The sequence below is a fragment of the Homo sapiens genome, chromosome 1 (assembly GCF_000001405.40).
Source record: "Homo sapiens chromosome 1, GRCh38.p14 Primary Assembly".
NCBI lineage: Eukaryota > Metazoa > Chordata > Mammalia > Primates > Hominidae > Homo > Homo sapiens.
In genome coordinates this window covers 63,020,969-63,037,986 of record NC_000001.11, presented here as the reverse complement: position 1 = coordinate 63,037,986, position 17,018 = coordinate 63,020,969, and positions in this window count along the sequence as shown.

Genomic DNA, 17,018 nt, shown 5'->3' with positions numbered 1-17,018 from the left:
GAGTAATTTTTTTAGGTGTCAAATATTTTTCCTAGAAAGCCACAATTCCTATGCACTGTGACTCTAGTGCTTACAGGATAAAACTGCCCTGATCTCTTGAAAATTTTTGCAACCTACTCATCTGACAAAGGGCTAATATCCAGAATCTACAATGAACTCAAACAAATTTACAAGAAAAAAAACATACAACCCCATCAAATAGTGGGCGAAGGATATGAACAGACACTTCTCAAAAGAAGACATTTATGCAGCCAAAAAAACACATGAAAAAATGCTCACCATCACTGGCCATCAGAGAAATGCAAATCAAAACCACAATGAGATACCATCTCACACCAGTTAGAATGGCAATCATTAAAAAGTCAGGAAACAACAGGTGCTGGAGAGGATGTGGAGAAATAGGAACACTTTTACACTGTTGGTGGGACTGTAAACTAGTTCAACCATTGTGGGAGTCAGTGTGGCAATTCCTCAGGGATCTAGAACTAGAAATACCATTTGACCCAGCCATCCCATTACTGGGTATATATCCAAAGGATTATAAATCATGCTGCTATAAAGACACATGCACACGTATGTTTATAGCGGCACTATTCGCAATAGCAAAGACTTGGAACCAACCCAAATGTCCATCAATGATAGACTGGATTAAGAAAATGTGGCACATATACACCATGGAATACTATGCAGCCATAAAAAATGATGAGTTCATGTCCTTTGTAGGGACATGGATGAAGCTGGAAACCATCATTCTCAGCAAACTATCGCAAGGGCATAAAACCAAACACCGCATGTTCTCACTCATAGGTGGGAATTGAACAATGAGAACACATGGACACAGGGCAGGGAACACCACACACTGGGGCCTGTTGTGGTGTGGGGGGAGCAGGGAGGGATAGCATTAGGAGATATACCTAATGCTAAATGACGAGTTAATGGGTGCAGCACACTAACATGGCACATGTATAAATATGTAACAAACCTGCACGTTGTGCACATGTACCCTAAAACTTAAAGTATAATAATAACAAAATTAAAAAAAATAAAAATAAAAACTGCCCTGATCTCAACGTAGGGTTGGTGGTCATTTGCATATGGGTAGAAGTGATAAGAGCAGGTTCCAAGGGAACCAGTTTCACAGACTTAGAGACAGTATAGCACAGCTGTAAAGGGTGCTAGTCCTAGAATTGAATTGCCTGGCTTCAAAAGTCCAACACCAACAATTCTTAATAGTGTGACTTCATGCCAGCCTCTGAAGCTCCCTGAAGTCTCAGTTTCCCCAACTGAGAAGGGCTAAGAATATTGCTTATCATAAGATGGTTGTGAGTTTGAATGAGATAAGCTGCTTAGATCAGAATTAGGCACAGAGTAGTTGCTCAGTGTGTTAGAAGCTATTTATGTTAGATCTGCTTGGGGAAGGAGGTTGGGACAGAAAGATGTGGAAGAGCACAGAAGAGATTCAACAGGTCTGATAAAAATCAGGAAGCAGAGGAGGAGACTCCTCTGCAAAGTTGTACGGAAAAAAAAATTGTACAGGGTCTGACAGCCCTAGAGAGGAGTATTGTTAGCTCCAAATAGCCACCACTCTGTGCATGGGGAAGAACTGGACTGGCACTGGGACAAAACACATTAAAAATTTGCCTCGATGCTCTTAAATCTCCAGGAGCCAGAGCCCATCATTCTGAACCCAGAGAGAGCAGCTTGGGGTAAGGAAGGGGGTCCCTGCTGAGGTCCATATTAATGCTGCGGCAGGAACTGTTCTGAAGGGATCCCTCAATAAAATTGAAAACGGATGGGGCCGTAGCCGGAGCTCATTTTGCAGAGATGACAGGATCAGTAGAGTTTAGGATTGCCAACAGGTTCTGAGTGAAACGCTGAAGTCTATTGAAACCTGATTAACAGCTACTCCGGGGGCTGAAATAAGCCACCTGACTGACCGGTGGCGAAAAATCCCTTCCAACATCAGCCTAGTGCTCAATATCATAGGGGGCCACAGACAAGTTGAAAAATGAGTTAACAACTTTGAACCTGCTGTAAAACTCTTATCAAAGCATCTAGGAAGCACCTTGCAAAGTGAATTTGCACAATGCTTTGCAGGTCATTCTACAGGTATGGTTTTAATCAATTTAATGAGTGTTTACTGGGCAATTAGAAGACCTGGGTTCAAGATCTGGCTCTGCCACCAATGAGCAGTGCTGCCTGGACAAATCCCTCTGCTTGTGTGGGCCTCAGTTTCCTCAATCCTTCAAACTCTGAGAACACAATGACTCTGTAACTGATTCCCAGTTACAGAGGAAATATATATATAGTGACTAGTCTTCTGGTCACTGAGCACACCTCAGAGGACGTTTTCAATCACTGGAGATTCCCATATATTAAAACAAAATTAAGCTGGGCATCATGGCTCACACCTACAATCTCAGCACTTTGGGAGGTCGAGGCAGAAAGATTGCTTGAGGCCAGGAGTTTAAGACCAGCCTGGGCAGCATAGTGAGACCACTACCCCACCACATTCCTGCACCACACACCCCCTCTGTCATCTCTACAAAAAATTTCAAAATTAACTAGACATGGTGGTGCATGCCTGTAGTCCCAGCTACTTCAGAGGCTGGGGCAGGAAAACCTCTTGATCCCAGGAGTTCGAGGCTGCAGTGAGCTATGACAATGCCACTACACTCTAGCCTGGGTGACAGAGGGAGACAACATCCCTAAAAATTAAAAATTAAAATAAAATTGTTGTATATTGCAATAGTTTTACTGACATATGAGTGTGTTTACTGATAAATTAATAAGTCTAATGCACAAGATACAACTATTTGAGCTTTTTGGAGATAATGTTAAAGTTTAAATTGAGGCTTTTTATAAATGTGAGGCCTGAGAAAAAGAACCCTGTGGGGGTTATGAAATGGCACTGTGGGATTTATGAGAATGACAAGACATGATGCCCTACTCTCAAGCAGTTTTCCGACCTACTGGAAGATATATACATACATACCTGGGACAGAAAACAACATATGGCGTGAGTTTATTTAATGTCAGATTGGCATCCATGCCATAAGGACTAGAGCAGAGAGGAAAACCAGCCTGATCAGTAGGTCTGGGACCACTGTTGGAGGAAGAGGGGGTTGAACTGAGCCCTATAGAAGGAGTGGTTTTTTTTTATATACTTTTTATTCTTAACTTCTGATTATGAAAATAATACAAGTATTTCATAAGTCTTCATGTTACAAGGAATGGGAAACTCAATTTAAATTTTGCTTGAAAAATAAAGAGAATTTATTAACTCATGTAATTGGAGAATCCAGAGATAAGATGTGTTTTGATTCAGAGAATCAATGATATCAATAGGGAAAAGATTTCTTTCTTTCTCTGCCTTCCAAGGTATCAGCTTCATCCTAGGGCAGGCTCATTATAGGATCACTAGACAGCTATCAATACCTCCTAAGATAAGTGCTTCCTCATTCATAACAAGTGAGAATGTTCTCTTTTGTTCCAGCATTCCAAGCAAGAGTCCAGAGATTCACTCTGATTGCAATGGTTTAAGTCATGTGTCCACCCCTGAAATAATCTCTGGGGCCACCAGGAATGAAACAAGCTGATTGGGTCTGTCTCTGCTATAAACTCCACCCTCATAGTGATAGTGGTTGTAAGAAACATGGAACCAATGTCTCTGGAAAACATGGACTCCCAAATGGAAACCAGGCACAGCTAGGATGGAGGCATAGATTCTGCAAAGGCAATCTTAGATGTCCTTTATAATATGTTTAATAATAAAATAATACAGAACATATTCTTTGACATAACATAACATAATAATATGTTTAATAATCAAAATTTTAGGAAATACAGAGAATTTTTTAAAAATAAAAACCTTCCATAACCCTAATACTCAGAGATACTCAGCATTAGCACTGTAGCAGATTTCTTCCCAGTCTTTTTTCTGAAAGAAATAACACTGTGCTAAATGTTTTACATGCGCCATGTCATTTACTCTTAACATAGCAACCCAAGAGGTAGGCGTTATTACTGTCCTCATTTGGTTACATTTTACAAAGCTATAGTATAACATCACAGCCAGGAATTGACGTTGATACCATCCACCGTCTTCACATTTTACTCGTATTCATTTGTGTGTGCATTTTAAGTTTTATACAACTTTATACCTGTGTAGGTTCTGACACAGTTCAGGTACTGAATAGCTCCAACGTCACAAAGATCACTGATATTACCTTTTTGCAAAGTTTTTTCAATATATTTTTAAGGAGAGTAATTTTTTTAGGTCTAAAATACTTTTCATAGGAAGCTGCAAGTTCATTCTACAGATGAAAAAACTGAGGTTCAAAGAAGTTATATAATTTCTTCAAGGTTAGATGCTAGTAATTATTGGAGATTGTATTTGAACTGAACTAAGACTGTCTCTGGAACTTAAGCTCTTAATCACTATGGCATCTTTTTTTATATAAAATTGGTATAGTGAGAGAGGAGAAAGGAAGAAACCAGTCAGGCAGGCAGGCAGGGTAAGTCCTTGGTTGAATTCTTTCAAACAAAAGAGCAGCCTGCAGGCACAGATAAGGGAACCCACATAGGAGGGCTTGCCTAAGACATGTCAACAGCCACACAGAAAAGAAAGGCTACACAAGTGACTTGCCCAGATGGGCCCACATGAAAAATTTCATCCCTTCACACACACGCAGTAAGGGAAGTAAAACAATATGGAGTAACTCAAGCTAAGGGCCTGCATGCGCACTTAGGAGGACAGGCTGGAGCTACCAGAAATTCACACCTTAAGTGAATAAGATGCCCAACCCTCATTGTTTTTTTCATAAAAGCCTTTGCACTCAACTGTAAAAATGACAACCCTCTTCCGGGCCCCCTCTTCATGGCAGAGAGCTTTCTTCTTTTGCTTATTTTTTATTTTTTATTTTTTTTGAGATGGAGTCTCGCTCTGTCGCCCAGGCTGGAGTGCAGTGGCATGATCTCGGCTCACTGCAAGCTCTGCCTCCCGGGTTCATGCCATTCTCCTGTCTCAACCTCCCGAGTAGCTGGGACTACAGGCGCCCACAACCATGCCCGGCTAGCTTTTTGTATTTTTAGTAGAGACGGGGTTTCGCTGTGTTCGCCAGGATGGTCTCGATCTCCTGACTTCTTTCGCTTATTAAACTTTCACTCCAACCTCACCCTTTGTGTCCATGCTCCTTAGTTCTCTTGGTTGTAAGACAAAGAACTCCAGGTAGTACCTCACAAGGAGCACTGCTATGTTGTGGTGCATTGGTGAGACTGTAACAATAGCATATATTTTGTTTTATTATGCTGGTTTTGTCCACTTACTGTTACACTGTGAGCTGTTTATAGCCCTTAATTGATCACTTTCAACTAGTCACTTAGATGAGGTTTCCTAAAATGCAGATGAACTCGTGTGTAGGCGATTTCTTGGGGAGCAACACTTTTGAGGGAGCGAAGGAGGCAGGAGTGACAGAGAGGAAAGTTAAACTGCAACAGAGGCCCCAGCCAGCAAATGCCACCAGAGCTCTGCAGCTGAGATGACCAACTCTGAAGTCGTCACTTCTTGAGGCAAGAGGGCTGGGCCTTCACACCCAGCATCCACCAGTGGGGCAAGACGTTGGGTGGGGTGACTCCCTTCCACTGAGGGCAATTCCTGAAGAAGGGCTCATCAACTGGGAGAATGCTGGCTTCTCCACTGAAAGAGGTAATCTAGACAGTGCAGCCCAGCATCCACTACAGCCAGGCATTTTAAAGAGGGGAGAATATTTCTAGAAAGACAGGGAATAGGAATTCTCCTATTTCTCCTTGCTGTATACCTTCTACAAGGCTTTCTATGCAGCTGCTGAAATATTTTTTCAACCACCATTTCAAACTTTTCCTCTTTCCAAAAACTTAGTTCTGGAGTCTAGAAGTCCAAAATCCAGGTGTTAATAGAGTTTGTTCCTTCTGAAAGTTGTGAGGGAAAAATCCGTTCCATGCCTCCCCTTGGCTTTCAGTGGTTTGCTGGCAACCCTTGGCATTCCTTGGCTTCTGCTGCATCACCCCGGTCTCTGCCTTCATCTTCACACGGCTTTCTCCCTGGATGAGTGTGTAAACCAACAATAAAATTCTAAGGCTCCCAAGCATCTGAATGGACCCCTCCTCTCGGCCAAAGGTGTTCCCTGAAAGTCTAGTTCAGGCCACGATGGAACATCAACATAGACCTTAAGTCTGATAAGAAATATTTAGTCTCTTCTCTCTAAAGCCTGCCACTTGGAGGCTTCATCTGCCTGATAAAACCTAGGTCTCCACAACCCCTTATCATAACCCAGACATTCTTTTCTACTCACAATAACTCAGCCAATTGCCAATCAGAAAATGTTTAAATCTACCTATGACCTGGAAGCCCCTGCGACCTCGAGTTATCCCACCCATCCAGATTGAATCAATGTAAATCTTATATTTTGTTTAACATATTATGCCTTCCTAAAATGTATAAAAGCAAGCCGTACCCAGACCACGTTGGGCACATTTCAGGACCTCCTGAGGCTGTGTCATGGGCGCGTCCTTAACCTTGGCAAAATAAACTTTCTAAATTGACTGAGACCTGTCTCAGATATTTTGGGTTCACAAGTATCTGTGCCTAAATTTCTCCCATTTATAAGGACACCAGTCATATTGGATTAGAAGCCCACCCTATCTCAGTATGACTTCATCTTAATAAATTCCATCTGCAACAACCCTATTTCCAAATAAGATCACATTTGGAAGTACTCTGGTTAGGACTTCAGTATGTGAATTTGGAGAGGAGCACAATTCAACTCATTACATACTCATTATATGGAGTAGTAAATATAAAATGCTGCATGTAAAATACTCAAAAAGCATCTGGCCCATTGTGAAAACTCACTGCAAGTTAACTATCTTTATCATTGTTATTCATCAAACCTATAATGGGTGCGTTATCTGTGCCAGGCAGTGTGCTGGGTGTTAGAAACACTAAGATGAATCAGATGTGGTCCTTGACCCAAAGGATGCCCAGCCTAACTGGAACCACAAGCATAAATAAAGAATTATAATCCTCAAGTTCTTTATAGCTAGATCAGTATTCCCAGCTTACTAAGCCAATTTGTACATCGAATGGCATCTGGGGTCAAAATAAATATCTTAGATGCCACCAGAGAATGAAGAAAGTTTATTGTTCAGAGGAAAGAAGTTTTCCTTTTTTCCTGGCTTCTTTATATCTTTGGGGGAAAAAAATTCCAAGTGTCATGGTCAAACACTACTCTGATTTCTTGTGCAAAGTTTAAGGTGACCTTTACCCTTCCTAATATATCATTGTGATGAAGCCAAAATTTTCCGAGATTCTCAAGACTGGCAGAAAAATAACCTCAGAAACTGGTCCCAAATTGGTAACTGAAGATAAGTTGGAGGGCAGTTCCTTCCTCAAGTGTTGCCATATATCTTACTTCATTGCATGTTGATAGTGTATTAAAATTGAAATAAAAATAAAATATTATCTGTGCCATTAAACCTGACCAATTCTCACTTCACTAATCTCCAAACCCTGATTCTTGCTAAAAGATGGACTGTCTTAACCCACTCTTGGCAAAGATGTACAGCAAAAGAGAGACCTGAGAGGTGGAACCTTCATCTTTTTGAAAAAAATATCCTGTCATCATTCAATATTTATGGAGCACACACACGGTGTGAAGCACTGCATCACCAGATGTCCTTTGCTTCCAGAAAGACATTGGTGACAGGGGAGACATTAAATAAACTGAGGGTTTCATGAGGACAGAGTTTGGGGGTGGGGGGTTGCTTCAGGCAGGACCTTGGTCATGAATCTTGTTTACACATCCGGTGGACCACCCCTGGGAAGCATGGCCCCCCAACCACAGACTTCCTGTCTCTGATTGTCCAGCCTAACAGCTACAGGCACCAGAGTTCCTCACTGGAGACAGTCCCAAGGTGAGGTGAGGTCCTCAATGGGAGAAGAGGGATGGGATCTAGGAGTGAAGCTGAGGGAGGGGATGGAGCAGAATGCCACCCCTAGATTGTGTTAGGTGTGTCCTGGAGGGTAAGGGAGGCCGTGATCAAGCCAGTGCTTTGCCCACCAAGCCAGGTTCAGTGGGTGTCTCCTGCTTCTGCTAGGAGGAGGGAGGGGGCCATTTTCAAATTTGCACAAAGCACCTTGTGGGCTATTGGTGCCCTAGGGCAGAGGGGTATTTTAGTCAGTTCCTGCTGCTATAACAAAATAACTTAGACCGGTTACTTTTTCAACAATAGAGCTTTACTTTTCACAGTTCTAGAGGCTGGGAAGTCCAAAATCAAGGCACCAGCAGGTGTCTGTGAGGGCTGCTGTCTCTTTGCAAGATGAAAGATGTGGCATTGTTGCTGTGTCTTCACAAAGCAGAAGGGATGAAAGCTCTCTGAAGCCTCTTTTGTAAGGACATGAATCCCATTCATAAGGGACAGGCTTCCCTATCCAATACCACCACATTGGTGATCAGGTTCCAACACAAAGTTTGGAGAAACACAAACATTCAAACCACAGCAAGGAGTAAGCTGTGACCTAGAACCAAAAAGTCCTACATTTCAGTCTTAATTCTTCCACTCACTCACATCACTTTCCTAGTCATGTAGCTTCTCTGGGTCTCAGTTTTCTTTTCCCCTCAGTAAAATGGGGTAGTACAGTCTGCCCTGCCTGCCCCACAAGGTTGAGCTGAAGGTCAGTATTTAAAATTGGATGAGGAGAAAACCTCTTTGCAGTCTCTGAAGAGCTTGGTTCTATTCTCTCTTCTCCACAGTCTCCTCAGGCATTGCTGGTGGGGTGTGCTGTCCTCTGCATAACTATGTCCTTCATTCTTCCCTGCTCACCTGCACCCCAGCTGGCACCTTGGATTGGGCAGGGACTTCCCTCAGATGCTCATCATGCATCTTAATGGGCAGGATATCCCATTTTTCAAGTTAACTGTGCACCATTCATTGACTGTCTAGCAGCGTGCACTGGAAACTCAGGATGGGGTGCTTCATCCCCACCATCCTGAGCCTCATCTGCCCTCCTGCACTGCAGATCAGCAGGTCACCTGGCTTCACCTCCACAGCCACCTGAGTGAAGACAGGCAGCAGCCACACTGGGCTGGATGTGTGAATCCTGGGGGAACAACTTCTGGGAGCTCTTGACCTTTCTGCACCCAGGGCAGTTCTGATGAGATGTGACTCCATGTAAACGACCTCAGCGATTACTGTGGTCACTGGTGGGAGGCACAGAGGAGGGCTAGAGGGCTGGACAGGGAGTGGAAGAGAAGTTCCCTCACCAAAGACAAGGAAGCACATTCCAAGCAAAGCAACAGTGTGCGCAGAAACACAGAGAACAGGAAAGGATGCGGCTGGTTCCAGAAATGCTGCAAGGTTCTCTGTGACAGGGCGGATAGTGTGGCAGAGTCCTCGGAAACAAGGCCATGGAGGTTGGAGCTGGCCTGGGAGGAGCCTGGAATGCTATGCTAAGGAGTCTGCACTCAGTTCTGCAGGGGCTGAGGAACCATCTCAGGTTTCCTCTAGCAGAAAAAGGGCATGATCAGAGGTGTGTTTCTCAAAGACACTCTGGTGGCATTATGGAGGGGAAAATTTGGAAGAAAGGGGTAGGAAGAATCTGCACATAGAGACCGTTAGGAAGCTGTTGTAATAGGTCAGTTTAGAGATGCTAAGAGCCCGCCACAGCACAGGGACAGTGTGGAGGGCACTGAAGGGGGTTTTGCTCAGAAGTTGTCCAGAGTAGTGATGAAGAACGTGGCTCCAGAGCTGGTCTGCCTGGGGTTGAGTCCTGGCTTTACTGTTCACCATCCTGTGGCTTTGGGCAAATTACTCACCTCTTCAGTGCCTCAGTTTCTCCACATGGTGGGAGGTTAATAATGGTACTCCACCTCATACGGTTGTTGAAAACCTTCAAAGTAGTTCTTGGAACAGACTGTCAAAATGTTAGCTCTTATTAGGAGACTGTATTAGTCAGGGTCTCTAGAGGACAGAACTAATAGGATAGATGTATATATAAAGGGGAGTTTATTAAGGAGTGCTGACTCACACGATCACAATGTGAGGTCCCACAATAGACCACCTGGAAGCTGAGGAGCAAGGAAGCCAGTCTGAGTCCCAAAACCTCAAAAGTAGGGAAGCCGACAGTGCAGCCTTCAGTCTGTGGTCGAAGGTCCAAGAGTCCCAAAGCTGAAGAACTTGGAGTCCAATGCTCGACGGCAGGAAGCACCCAGCATGAGAGAAAGATGGAGGCCAGAAGACTTAATCAGTCTAGTCCTTCCACATTCCTCTGCCTGCTTTTATCTTAGCCATGCTGGCAGCTGACTAGATGGGTGGACACCCAGATTGAGGGTGGGTCTGTCTCTCCTAGTCCCCTGACTCAAATGTTAATCTCCTTTGGCAACACCCTCACAGACACATCCAGGAACAATACTTTGCATCCTTCAATCCAATCAAGTTGACACTCAGTATTAACCATCACAGAGAAAAAAACAGACAGGATTTGGTGCCTGGTTAGAAGTAGGGAAAGAGCAGCTCCCCAGTGTTGCCAATGCTATTGTGGCTGTGAATCATCTGCCGCCTCCTCCTCCTCCTCCTCCTCCTCCGCCAGCTCCTGGGGGCATGCAGGCTGCTGTACTGGTCAGGAGCTTACATTCTGAGATCAGATTCACCTACTCTCTCGCTGGCCTTGAGCAAGTTTTTAAATCTCCTGTCTTAGTCTCTACATCTGTAAAATGGGGATAACACTAATATCCACCTCACAAGATTGTTTGAGGATTAAGTGAGATGATATGAGGAATAACCAGCATATGGGGAGTGTTCGATAGGATTATTCAATCTTATTTGTATTATTACTCACCAAAGTTGGAACTATAGGAGAAGAAGCAGTATTGGGTGACAAAGCAGAGGAAATACAGTTAGGTGTAGGTTGTGCAGAGAGCTAGAACTCAGGAGGGGAACTCAGGAGAGATGGAGGATGGAGGACTTACATGAGGAAGACAAAAAATATTATGCCTCCAATAAAGGTCTGATCAACCTTGAAGTCTGAGCAACACATTAAAGAAAATGGAAAATTAACAGGGAAGGGAAATTCGGTGAAGTTGCTTTATTCTGGCTTGGCTGAATCCAGATATAAATTTTAAACATTTTTGCTGAAAATTGTTCTAAAATGTATTACACATTTCCTTGCAACTTGATATTTGGCATATCTATTCACTTACTCTTTCAACATTTCTTGATCGAGGACTTAATGTTAAGCTCTGTGCTAGCTCTTCAGGGTTACAGATAGAAAGTAGATCAAGTCCTTGCCTTATGAGAAGCTTACTTCTAATTTTTCAGTTTCATAAACTTTGAATAGGAAGCATGCTTATATTTAAAGTTTGGGGGTACATACTGGACTATCTACTTAAAATTCTAAAGTGGGACTCCTTCCTGAAAGAGGATCTACTTTAAATGTTTTTGTAGTAGATTGCAAAGTAGAAAAGGAGACTTCAATTTTTTTTTTTTTTTTTTTTTTTTAAGAGACGGAGTCTCTCTCTGTCACTCAGGCTGGAGTGCAATCATAGCTCACTGCAGCCTCCAACTCCTGGGCAAAAGCCATCCACCTGATTCAGCCTCCCAGTAGCTGAGACTACAGGCAGGCGTCACCACGCCTGGGTAATTTTTTAAATTTTTTTATAGAGATGGGAGCCTCACTATCTTGCCCAGGCTGGTCTTAAACTCCTGGGCTCAAGCAGTCCTTCCACCTTGGCCTCTCAAAGTGCTGGACTTATAGGCATGAACTACTGTGCCCAGACAGACTTTAATTTTTATAATTATGTAAAATATACAGAAAACTACAGAACGTTCCTATTACCCAGACGAGAAATCTAACATTTAGCCATATTTTCAAGCACTTATTTTAAGTTAAAAAAAAAAAAGTTGATACAACTGAAACTTCCTGTGTTAACCTACATATGAAATAATATTTTTCAAACAGAATTTAAAGTTAATTCAGTATTGTTCTCCTCCTGAATAAGACAAGGATTTAGCATACTTAAAAAACTTGTTGGTCAGGCATGATGGCTCATGCTTGTAATCCCAGTACTTTGGGAGGCCAAGGCAGGAGGATCACTTGAGGTCAGGAGTTCTAGACGAGCCTGGCCAACATGGTGAAACCCTGTCTTTACTAAAAATACAAAATTTAGCCAGGCATGATAGTGCACACCTGTAATCCCAGCGACTCGAGAGGCTGAGGCAGGGGAATTGCTTGAACCTGGGAGGCAGAGGTTGTAGTGAGCCAAGATCACACCACTGTACTCCAGCCTGGGCAACAGAGTGAGACCCTTGTTGGACTTCTCTCCATTTTTAAGTTGTTTTTTTTATTATGTAGAGATTTTATTTTACTTTTTATATAATGTAAGCTTTTGAAAAGTAAATTAACTAAATTTCCCACTTGCCTGCTCACGATTGTTTCTTGTGTCCCACACCTCTGTGGATTTTCAATGGGTCTCCAGATGGTAAACTTCCTTAGAATTGCATTGCTGAAATGTCTTGATTTCACACTCATTCTTGAATGATGGTTTAGCTGGGTATAAGATTCTAGATTCATTTTTACCCCCCTCCCTTCAGCGCTTTTAAGTCATTATTTCATTTTGTGGCCACAGAAAAACCTACTGACATGCTAGCAGTCATTGTTTGGAAGATAATCAGTCTCCTCTGTCTGGTAAATATTAGGCTTTTTATTTTTAAAAATCTCTTTGGTTCTGTAGTTTCTTTATGATGTGTCTAGATGTGATATTTAGAACACGGTATTTTTTTTATTATACGTTAAGTTTTAGGGTACATGTGCACACCGTGCAGGTTTGTTACATATGTACACATGTGCCATGTTGGCGTGCTGCACCCAGTAACTCGTCATTTAACATTAGGTATATCTCCTAATGCTATCCCTCCCCCCTCCCCCCACCCCACAACAGGCCCCAGTGTGTGATGTTCCCCTTCCTGTGTCCACGTAGAACAAGGTTTTAATCTAAGTGGGCAAGTCCCAACCGGAATACTTTGTAAACATTGTGAGAATGTGCAAATGGCAGCAGACTTGGAATTTAGGGTTATGTGGGAGAAACATTATTGACACTTGAGAAAAGTACTTCAGAGAGGACAACTAAGCATTTATCAACAAAGGAACAATTTACTAGTTAAATGAATAATTAATTAGATTTGGGGGCATATAATATGTACCAATCACTGAAAGTCAGACCCAATCTGGCAATTTGGGGGTCCTATCTATCTACCCAACTCCCACACCACGTTCTAGGCACCCCAGAAATGGACTCTGTCCTTGTTGAGAATTTCCCTCCAGATCTGATGCTCTGTCTTCCCAGTCATCCTTGTCTCCCCTTCAGTGATGACTTGAGTCTCCTCTGGTCCACACCCCTCCAGTCAACCCAGCCTTAAGACCTCCTGTCTCAACTCTGCCCAGTTCTTCTGGGGAACTGAACATTAATAGAGAAAATATGGCAGTAATTTAGAAGAATAAGAATACATTAATGAATTCCTAAAAGGTGTCAGCTGATTCAAAAGGTAAAAACTCATGATGGGAACAAACCACACACTCCCCTCCACTCCCTCCCCACACACCCATGAGCAATGTTTATAAATCAAGCTTTCCCCTAACATGCCATGGCTGACTTCCTGAAGGAGCATATCAAATTACACAAAAGGTCAGTGAATGTGAAATACTGTACTGACCGTTATGGAATCATTCTTAATCTTCTTCATCACCTAAAACATTGAAGGAAAAATATATATTTAAATAATGTGGAGTAACTAATGAGAGTTTTTGGGTTATTCTGCTGAAGTCAGGAGATTTTTTTTAATCCTAAATACTTGACACTTACTAGAAATTCCATGCAATTACCCAAGACATCCGTCTTGAATTTTTTATGGACAGCTAGCTTTAGGAGGAAGAAAAAATGTCAAAATGTGAAAGTATTTGTAAAGTGGCACTGGTCAATAAGAAAAGGAAAGAGGGAGAGAGAGAGAGAAGAAGAAGAAAGAAAAGAAAAAAATAGAAAAGAATGAAAAAGGAAAGAAAGAGAGAGAGAAAAAGAAAGAAAAGAAAGAAAGAGAAGAAAGAAAGGGGAAAGAAGAAAGAAAGGGAAAGGAAGGAAAAGAAAGAAAGGAAGGAAGAAAAAAGGAAGGAAGGAAGAAAAGAAGGAAAGGAAAGGAGGAATGAGGAAGAAAAAAGGAAACACAGAATGACTTTGTCTCTTTTTCCCATTCCTGCGTGACTTTCTCATCTCATCTGTTCTTTTATAAGTTGTCACACCAGGTAGGGCCAGACACAAGTTGTCTAATCTGAGGCTGCAGAAGAGACTTAAATAGATGTAACCCTCACAGCAAGATGTGCCAAGTCCAGGAAATGAGACAGGATGAGAGATGCAGATTTTTATTATTTATTTTTTGAAAAGCTGTAAGGTAGAAACATTTTGAGAGGATCAAGTATACTTTCGAGAAATGAAAAGTCCAATTTCGTTAGGCCACGGAGTCAAGGAAGACGTGAGCCTCATGAGGAAATCCTCAGAAATAGAAGGGCCTGGACTTTGGCTCAGCCACCTGGGTGCAGCTGCCTGCTGCATGCATCAATATTTAAGCAAGGGAAATGATCTGTTCTGCCTTCTGGGGATGGCCCTCTTTCCTCCCTATCTGATCTGATTGGAGTGGGATGCAGAAGGAGCAGCGGCTGGCAGTTTGGTTTCGATGGGGGATGGAGCACTGTGAGCGTCAGGTGCCCTGTGGTCTGCTCCCCAAGAGGTGGCAAGCTCATCTTTCCTCTCTTTTCTCTTCTCTCCCAGTTTTCCCCTCTTCCTTCACCTGCTCTTATTTTTTCCACCTGCTGCCTTTTTCCCTGGCAATTCACTTCTCACTCGTTTTTTTGTTTTTTTTTTTTTTCTGATCAACTGGGATACTGCTGAATTCTCCTTATTTCTGATCAACTGAGATCAACTGGAATACTACTGGTGGGGTTTCTCCTTATCTCTGACAACATCACAGCTGTTCATCAAGGCTCTGTACTGGTGCCGGGGATACCAGGCTTTAACAGGGCAGGCAAGGTTCCTCTTCTTTTGAAGCTTCAAGTCCAGTGAGGCCTAAAGGCTGTGGCTCTAACCAATCCCCATGTTAGAACTGAAACTCTACCAAGGTAGGGATCCAGTCCATTTGCTATTTGTTCATCACCTTGTCGGCAGCTCTTAGAACAGTGTCTGACATGTAGCAGGCCAGTGTAAGTTTGTAGAATGAATGAAGAAAGGAGATTTCACCCAGTCCTTTCCTAAACCACGGTGGACTTATCTTTGAGACTTTCAAGTTGCCAATTCTTCCCCACCTTTAGATTCCAGTTCAAGGCTGCCTCCTCTAGGGCATGTCTCCTTACACCTTCCACACTGTATTATGTTGTTATCTGTTGCCATGGCAGACCTCCCTTTGCCGCCTACTGCACAGTGAAATTCCCATAGGCAGAGGGAGATTTCTAGTTGGTTTTCTAGGTTGCAGTGAGTGCTCAGTGTATGTTTTCTGACTAATGGGAATCTCATGACATTTGGATAAATCTTGATATCTTATGCCATATCCCTGGTCCTCTCCACTTTCTACCTGCTCAGATCACACCATCCTTTTGACCCAGATGATGAAGATTTCTCTGACACAGTACAGTACCATTCTCATCTGTCTACTCAGCAAAGACAAAAAAGAATGGGAATTTTAAAAGTCTGTTTCTGATAAGGATACTGGTGGGAGCAAACATTGGTAAAACCTTTCTGGAAGGCGATTTGGCCCAAAATATTTTAAAAACTTAAAATGTACACAACTTTTGATGCAGCAACTCCACTTCTAAGAATTTATTCTGTGGAAATAATTTCAAATGTGCCCAAAGACTTATTCAATATGATGTGTATCCCAGTTGATGTTTATAATGTTAAGAAATTGGAAATCCTCACTAAGCAACTGATTGAGTTGAATACAGGTAAAAACCTACAATGTAATATTTCAAAAATGAAGTTAACATAATTATTGACCTGACAAGATGTGAATGTTGTTGTTGTGTTTTTGTTAAATAAATCAGCATATATAATAGATCCTGTTTATATAAAAATTATAACATTGTATTTCCATAGAAAAAATCTGGAAACGTATGTAACTAAGTAATATGTGGGCTTCTCAGAGTGATGGAAAGTTATTTGATTTTTATGTTTTTTTCTTAACTGTATTTTTCCACTTGATTTTTTTTTTTTTACAAACAGGAATTATTGATTTTCTTTTCTTGTGACAGGGTCTCACTCTGTCACCCAGGCTGGAGTGCAGTGTCATGATCACAGCTCACTGCGGCCTCAACCCCTTACTTGGGCTCAAGTGATCCTCCCACCTCAGCCTCCTGAGTAGCTGGGACTACAGGCACGCACCACCATGCCCAGCTAATTTTTAATTTTTTTTTTAGGGACTGGGGTCTCACTTTATTGCCCAGGCTGGTCTTGAAATCCTGGACTCAAGCGTTCCTCCCATCTTGGCCTCCCAAAGTGCTGGGATTATAGGCATGAGCCACTGTGCTTGGACCATAACGATTTTTTTTTAAGTTGTAAGAAATTGTCTGAATGCTTTGCTCTTTTTTGACTCTAAAAGTAAACTGTTTAAAGTCAAATAGACTTGAAAAAATTAACATTCCCACATGGACTAAGGACAATTTTAGATCTGAGATGCTCAAAGGAGAGCCTTTAACTGTCTGAGCCTCTGTAGCCACCAGTGAGTCTAATTTCCCAATGCTCTGAGAAACTGTGACAGAGAATCATTACCCTTGAAATGGGTTTGTGTAATATAAAAAATCAGGGTCTCCTCTCGACTTAGTGAGTGTGTTAACATTCATGGGAGTTCCCATGCATGCTCTGAGGGAGAGTCCTGTGACATCGTGTCTGCGTTGTATTGAACTCAATCACTTGTAGAAAATGTGTAAGGTAATAGGGATATTACAC